The sequence below is a fragment of the Homo sapiens genome, chromosome 3 (genome assembly GCF_000001405.40).
Source record: "Homo sapiens chromosome 3, GRCh38.p14 Primary Assembly".
NCBI lineage: Eukaryota > Metazoa > Chordata > Mammalia > Primates > Hominidae > Homo > Homo sapiens.
The window spans coordinates 65,968,015-65,975,955 of NC_000003.12; the positions used below are offsets into that span (position 1 = coordinate 65,968,015).

Sequence of the window (7,941 nt, forward strand, 5' to 3'; positions counted from 1 at the left end):
CGGAATGTAATGAGATAAACCCTTGAACTGAAAGCCTGACAGCTTCTAGACTAGGTCTAAGGGAAGCAAGTAAATGAGAGACAGAAATGGAAAGAAAAATATGGTAAGAAAGGGAATTAAATTTTAGGCATGTTCTTATACAGTTGGCAAAAGTGAAAAATGATGCATCTTTTTGAAAGAGCAATTTGGCAATATCGAACAAAAACATGAAATGTGTCCACCTTTTGAACCAGGAAAGTCCACTACTGGGATTTTATTTTACAAATGCAATTATATGTGCATAAAGATCAAAATACAACGATATATTACTGATTCCAGCATTGTTTGTAAAAACAAAAGTCTGAAAAGAACCTTAATGCTCATCAGCAGAGGACAGGCTTAATGAATTACATACAGAACACTGATTCAAAGGTAAACTCCAAGTCATTGAAAAGAATGGAATCCATCTTGGTGCTGATGGAAAAAGAGCTCTAAAATGTAGCTGTAAACGTGAAGTGGAAAAAAACAAGGAGCAGAAACTCATATACACATATCATTTTTAAAATAAGGTGTGTGTGTATATGCACACAGATTCTCTATATAATATATATATATTATATTTTTTTAAAGGCGAGCAAGAGAAAGGAGGGGAAACAAGTATACTTGTATACGTATAAACAATTCTAGGACAAGAAACTGGAGAAGTCAGGATATTAGAGACTTTTCACTCTATACCCTTTTTTATTATGATTGAATTTTTTAATTCTACACAGTTTTCTCACTTTAAATTACATATATACGAATATTCTACATAAGACCATTTAAAATAAACTTTTATTCATAGGAAATGTAATGGTTTGTTTGAAATTTAGTCATAACATCCCTGTAAGTTTCATGCAATTAAATGCTTATCGTATGCTAAACATTTGATGAGACGACCTTAAATCCAAGGTAGTCAGAGAGCATATTTGTAGACCAAGTTTTACATGGGATACAATCAAAAGAAGGACTACGTAATTTGCTGTATTAGGAACATTTAGCAAAAGGCTAACACTCAGCTCAGAGTAATTCAAGCGAAAGAGTAAAGTTATTATCATACTGAGGTCCTTCATAGAACCCAAGGGAAGAATTGAGGCTGGTCTGGAGAACAAGGGAAGTGAAGACTTGAACACCGTGGGGAGTCTCTCCATCTTCATGACTTCATTTCCTCTCACTGTACAATAGTAGCTTCTTCCACATGCCACAAAACATTGCTCTCACAGTTCCTAGCTGTTATCTGTAACCATTTCACCGGGAGCGGAGTTATTTCTCAAGTTTGGAAGTACTGGCATTTTGGCTGGTATGGTTCTGTGTTAGGGGCTGGGGGGTGGCTGTCCTGTGCATTGTAGAATGTTTATCAGCATCCCTGGCCTCCATTCCCCCTCCTCGTAGTTGCAATAACCAAAAATATCTCCAGATATTGCCAAGTGCTCCCTAGGGGATAAAATTGCCACTGACCTGGGAGAAACTGAACTGCTTGCTCATTCACCTTCCCAAGTGCTGGGGAAGGACGCTGACTGCCTAGCTTTTGGCTCAAATGTGGCTGAATAACTAGAGCACGCTTGCACTCACAAGGTGACCCCTTCATAAGCTTGTGGTTTAAGGAGTTGTTGCTCTTTACCACTGCTATAGGGCTTTCCCTAAACCCTCTAAGTCAGTACTGTCCAACACAACTTTCTGCAAGAAGATATCCATCATGTGCTGTCCAAAACAGCAGCCACTAGCCATATGGGGCTATTAAGCACCTGAAATACAGCTCCTATTATCGAAGAACTGCATTTTAAAATTTTTTATTTGACTTTCATTAATTAAATTTAAATAGACACATGTAACCCTCGACCACCTAACAGCACAGCTCTAAGTACTGAGAGCATTTAAGCTCCTTTAGAACAGTTGCCAGCATACCATGGGGGCTTAATAAGTACTTGCTGAATAAAGGAATGAATAGGATTGGGCTCAGGGTCTTGGTTGGCAAAAGTCATTAAACCAACTCAGATGGTTCCACCCATAGGAAAAATGGGAACTCAGTGAGAAAGGAGCAGAAACAGAAGCAACCCACTGTCCATCAACAGATGAATGAATAAACAAATCGAGGTGTGCATACATGGCAGAATATTTATTAAGCTCTAAAAAAGAACACTATTTTGACACATGCTACAACGTGAATAACCTTGAAGACATTTTGCTAAGTGAACTATGCCGATCACAAAAGGACAAATACTCTATGAGTCCACTTATATGAGGTACCAAGAATAATTAAATTCATAGAGCTAGAATACAATGTTGGTTGCCAGGGATCGGGGGTACCAGGAAGTGGGGACTTAATATGTAATCGATAAAGAGTTTCAGTTTGGGAAGATGAAAAAGTTGTGGAGAGGAATGGTGGTGACGACTGCACAACAATATAAACATAACTAATGCCACAGAAGTGTACATGCAAAAGTGGCTAAAAGGGTAAATTTTGTGTCAGGTATACTTTACAATTTTGTTAAAAAAAAAAAAAAAGAATCAAGAAAGCTTAATATGGTATGGTGGACTGAACCATTGCTCACAATTCTTTACAGCATCCCTATACTCCAGAAATAAATGGAACAAACCTGAACCCAACCCCACACTCTGGAGCCAACACCAGCCAACCCACACCCTAAGTAAAGCTACCCTACAAAGCTATGACTGAGAGAATGAGATCCTTGCTGTTGCAGGTTATGGGTTCCAGGGAAGTTTGTTACACAGCATGTTTATAGCAAGAGTCAGATACATTAAGTCTCAATGGTCATGGCTTTGCCACCAAGAGAACATTGAAAGAATAATGAATACTTGCCACAGTGTGGCTAAGGATCAGCTGCATTCTAAAACTACAGATAGATCAGTTTTAAAAAATAAATAAATAGGCTGGGCACGGTGGCTCATGCCTGTAATCCCAGCACTTTGGGAGGCCGAGGTGGGCGGATCACGGGTACAAGAGATTGAGACCATCATGGCCAACATGGTGAAACCCCATCTCTACTAAAAATACAAAAATTAGCCAGGCATGGTGGCGGGCGCCTGTAGTCCCAGCTACTCGGGAGGCTGAGGCAGGAGAATCACTTGAACCCAGGAGGTAGAGGCTGCAGTTAGCCAAGATTGTGCCACTGCACTCCAGCCTGGAAACAGAGCGAGACTCCGTCTCAAAAATACATAAATAAAACCATGAACTATGACATTTGATGAATCATTATTTAAAAGGTCCACTAAGCCTCAGATCCTTGAAGAAGGTGGGTCCAATGTAGAACTGTGCTTCATTCCTTAAGAGTCTATGGATTATGGTCTTAAGTGATGTTGAGCCTGAAGAAAACAAACCCTGGCACCTCTCATAACCCATTATGATCTCTGGAGACCATCTGATTCTAAAGAGATGCAATTTGAAATGCTCCCTGAAGCACTTCAGGCCTCAACATTCTCGTTAAATTTCCCCTTTCAGCTGTCCCTGGCAGTCACTCCAAGCTGGCAGCCAACATCTTCTACTGTCTGCAACCCTCCACCCTGAAAGGAAATAAAATCTACATCCAAGTCAAGCACATGTTTTCACGCAATTCAAAGAAAACAAACTGTGAACAACCTGAGGGCTCACAGGAGCCCTGTTATCATCTACAAAGACTCGTGAAGCAGACTCGGGCACATCATCACTTCCACAAGACACAGAAGCCTTCCTGCACCCTGCTGGGAGAAGCCCTCCCAGCTTCCTGCCTGACACACTTCCCTGGACTTTAACCAGCTCTACTTCTCTCCACCTCTGTACCAGTGACCAAGGACCAGAACCAGTTAAGATTTTTATTTTTCCTAAGGAGCAAACTTCTTACGCTGCTTCACCCCAAGAGCTCAATGGAGTTTCCTCTTGGGCACACTTAATAATCATGTCGTACCTCAGCAAGAAGGAGCAGATAATAAAATCCAAAGGCAAATAGGACAAGCTGTTAGCCAGGGATGAGAGAACTAGCAAAGGGCAACAGACTATTCTAGGAAATAAGAAAGGAGGTGCTTGGGCAAGGCTTGCTCAGGCCCACCTTCCTCCAGCCTGGCAGCCTGACTGGTCCCTAATTCTGCCACCTCACATTGCAAAGCAGTTCTTATCTCTCATTTGAAAAACTGACAGGGACAGAAGACAGCAGACAAGAAGTCCACACACACTAGCAGCAGAAAAGAAGGTGAAGGAGAGAAGACCGTGGAAAGAGGTTTATAACATAAAGCCATTGTTGCTAATTCAAATTGTTAACTATTGCGAGAAAGGAGCAGAGAATATATTTTAGAAAATGTCCAGCAGAAGAAATTTTGCTGGTTAATTGACTACATCTTGGTAGTTTTAAATATTTTCTGATGCAGTCAGGTTCCTATGTCTAAGACATATGCCTGTGACATATACATGTTTCTTCCTTTATTAAAATTATAATAAATTAATTAATTAGGTATTCCTTTTAACTTTGTTTCTATTATGTAAACAACTTCTGGGCAGTAGGCACTATATGATCTTTACTCGGCCAGAGCCATTTCACTTCCTTTTATTTGCAGTTTCTATTCAGTCCAAAATATCATGTATTTTTGCTAAAATCATTATGATCCCCCCTGAAGGGCTAGGACTGGGTGAGATCAGCTGCTAACAATAAGAATAACGATGAAGAACAACAAGGGGAAAAACATCAAGAGAAGCAGTCAGATACTCAACTATTCACGGTCCACATTTATTAGGCACATATACGCATACACTTAATCCTCAGAACAACACAAAAACATGTTTGTTTTATTCTTATTTTATATATGGAAAATAAGCTCAAATGAGTTCCAGCAAGTTGATGAAAGTTAAACATATGAAAGACAGCGGTGCTCCTATGAAAGCCAGAGCCAATCAATCAAGTCTTGTTCTCCCAACCACTTCACTAGTATACTACCTCCTGGTGGTTACCAACTACACTTTTACTCAGATGAAAAGTAAGGCAGTCCAGGTGTGGTGGCTCACACCTGTAGTCCCAGCTACTTGGGAGGCTGAGATGGGATGATCACTTGGGCCCAGGAGTTGGAGGCTGCAGTGAGCTATGATCATGCCACTACACTCCAGCTGGGTGACACAGTGAGACCCTGTCTCAAAAAATAATAAAATAAAATAAAATATAAAATAAAATAAATAAAAGGCAATTTGTTCTCCTCTCAGCAGAACAGGTGCCCCCTATTCTCACTCATCTCAGCCCCCTTTCCTAACAGTCACCAAAATGTTATGAGATAAAGTAAATTTTTGTTAAGTTCTCTAACCTGGTATTTTCTACTCTTTTTTCTTCATCTTCAGTACCTTTGTAAGGGAAGTAGAAAAAATTTCCTTTGGGTTGTACACGATTTAATAAGATACACCATTTAAAGTTCTGACTATTGCAGCTCCCATGATACTCTGATACAAATTTGGCCAAACCACGCTTTAAGGGCTCTGTGTACACACAGGAGATGGTATAAGTGAATGTCTCCTAGCCAAACTATGCACTCCCGAAGCATGGTACTGCATGTCACTACACAGCCATATAAACATATGCACAACAGAGCAGCTAAGAGCTTAGTTCTGCATTTGAAATTCACCTTCAATTCTTACTGATTTTTGGACTTTGTTCCTAATTATTCTAAATCTTAGTTTCATTATCCATAAAATAGGGATAATACTTACAATTCCTTGTGAGGATTAATAAAAGAAATGTACATAAATTGCTTAGCACAGAGTATGGCATAGAGAAAGCACTCTATCAATATTATTATTTATTTGACCCAAGTCTCATTTTCTTTCTTAAATTCCTTAGTACCTTTTTGTTTTCAGAACAATTCATATAATCAGGGAAAAAAATGTAAACAGTGAAGACAAATAATCCACTTAAAGCATTACATAATTTATAAATGCTGATGCCATAAAATATGCTTTGCATTAATTTCATCTAAAATTCAGTTTTATAGTATACATCAAATATGGTTTAAATGGATGTTGATTGTTCCTTTTTCAGAATTAGCATGAAGAATATTAAAAAAGGAAAGGTACAGAAAAATAAAATCTTTCTTATTTACTTCTAGAATTCAAATTTAATACTATGAAAGTAACAAAGTAGAATTCAACTCTTGTTTTGCTGAAGACAACTAGATATTTTGCTCCTTCAAAGCATGGATTGTGGCAATCATCTTAGCATCCTAATCACTATGCACTGTTCCTGGGAAATAGTAGGCCCTCAAACATTTGTTGAAAGCATAAAGAGTGAGCAAATGGGAGAGTGGGAGGGAAGAAGGGAGAGTGGGAGGGAAGAAGGGAGGGAGGGAGGAGTGGATGGATGGATGGGTGGGCGGGTGGGCGGGTGGCTGGGTGGATGGGTGGATGGGTGGATGGATGGATGGATGGATGGATGGATGCATGGATTAACCAACCTTATGTTGCCAGTTTGTATCAGTTATTTATTGCTGTGTAACAAGTAACCCCAGTCTTATTGGCTTCAAACAATAAGCATTTATTATCTGACAGTTTCTGTGGGTCAGGAATCCAAGACTGGCCTAGCTGGGTGGTTCTGGCTCAACATCTCTCACACCTCTGCAGTGTTAGTGGGGCTGCAGTCATCTACAGCTTGACTGGTCCAAAGGATACTCTTCCAAGCTCATTCGCATGGCTGTCAGCAGGGGGCTTCAGTTCCTCACTGTGTGCGCCTCTCCACAGCACTGCTCACAGCATAGCTTCTCCCAGAGCAAGAGATCCAAGAGAGAGGGAAATAGAAAGGATGACTAGGACAGAAGGCAGATTTTTATAACCTTATCCTGGAAGTGAAACGCCATCATTAGGCTATTGGTCTCACAGACCTGGGAACAGACTGCACGAAGGTGTAAATACAAGAAGGCAGGGATCATTGGAGGACATCATAGAGGCTGTGGAGTTTGAAATAATCAAATCTTCTAAATTGCAAAGCCAGTAACAAATTAACATAGTACCATAGGCAGGGTTATTTTTGTACAGCTGCAAAAACTTATTCAAATCATTCATATTATGTTGCAAAGATTAAAAGGGAAATAGCTATTTAAAAAAAAAAAAACAGTAAATATCCATGAGAAATGTCAACTTGGATTTTCTTCCTAACCCAAAAATGATTGAAATGTTCTTCCTGCCCAACTTTCAACTCATGGCAATAGTTCGTTTTCATTCTAAAAATTCAAGACTTGACTCAGCAAACACATCAGTGCCAAGAAAGCGAATTTCCAAAATTATGTCTGTCTCTTTATGGAGCACAGGCCAAACTTAAAGGAAAAAGAATTTAGACCACAAAATAATCTGTCATTTCTAGTCTTCATACCAGCATATTGAAATGCTGGGGTCTTCGACATTTTATATAAGGCATAAAATTTAAGAAAATACTTTCTAGAATGCCTTATTACCCAAGTCTGAATTGAAAGATGGTTTTTAGGCCGGGCACAGTGGCTCAAGCCTGTAATCCCAGCACTTTGGAAGGTGGAGGTGGGCGGATCGTTCGAGCCTAGGAGTTCAAGACCAGCCTGGGCAACATGGCAAAATCCCCTCTCTACCAAAAATACAAAAATTAGACAGTCTCATAACCCAATCTCAAAATAATAAATAGATAAAAATTAAAAATAAAATAAAATAATAAAGAAAGATGATTTTTGCATCACCAAATCTTTACACTGATTTCTCTCTAGTTTTTCCTTTGCAATGAAATGTCACTCAGACTTGGACTAAGATTAAGTCATAACTGACAGCTGTTGACTCTCTCAAGCTCTTCTCTGACCGTATCAAGCCTGAGTATCCTTATTTTGCACATTCTTCCTTATGTAAGATGCTTCTGAGGGATGGTGGCAGTGGCTGGCATGTACTAATACAAAATACTTCAAATTATATTTTTGAGCTGGAAATTCAAGAGAAACAAATAC

General features: G+C 39.4%; 1 protein-coding gene and 1 long non-coding RNA gene across 7 annotated transcripts in view; both read right to left on the minus strand.

The window, feature by feature from the left end:
* Positions 1-7,941, minus strand: part of MAGI1 (membrane associated guanylate kinase, WW and PDZ domain containing 1) — a 685,393-nt gene that overhangs the window by 614,489 nt on the left and 62,963 nt on the right. The window lies entirely within an intron of this gene.
* Positions 701-7,941, minus strand: part of LOC124900543 (uncharacterized) — a 55,600-nt gene continuing 48,359 nt past the window's right edge. Inside the window, exon 2 of the long non-coding RNA XR_007095951.1 lies at positions 701-6,738. This is a non-coding gene — a long non-coding RNA (uncharacterized LOC124900543). The remainder of the gene's footprint in view (positions 6,739-7,941) is intronic.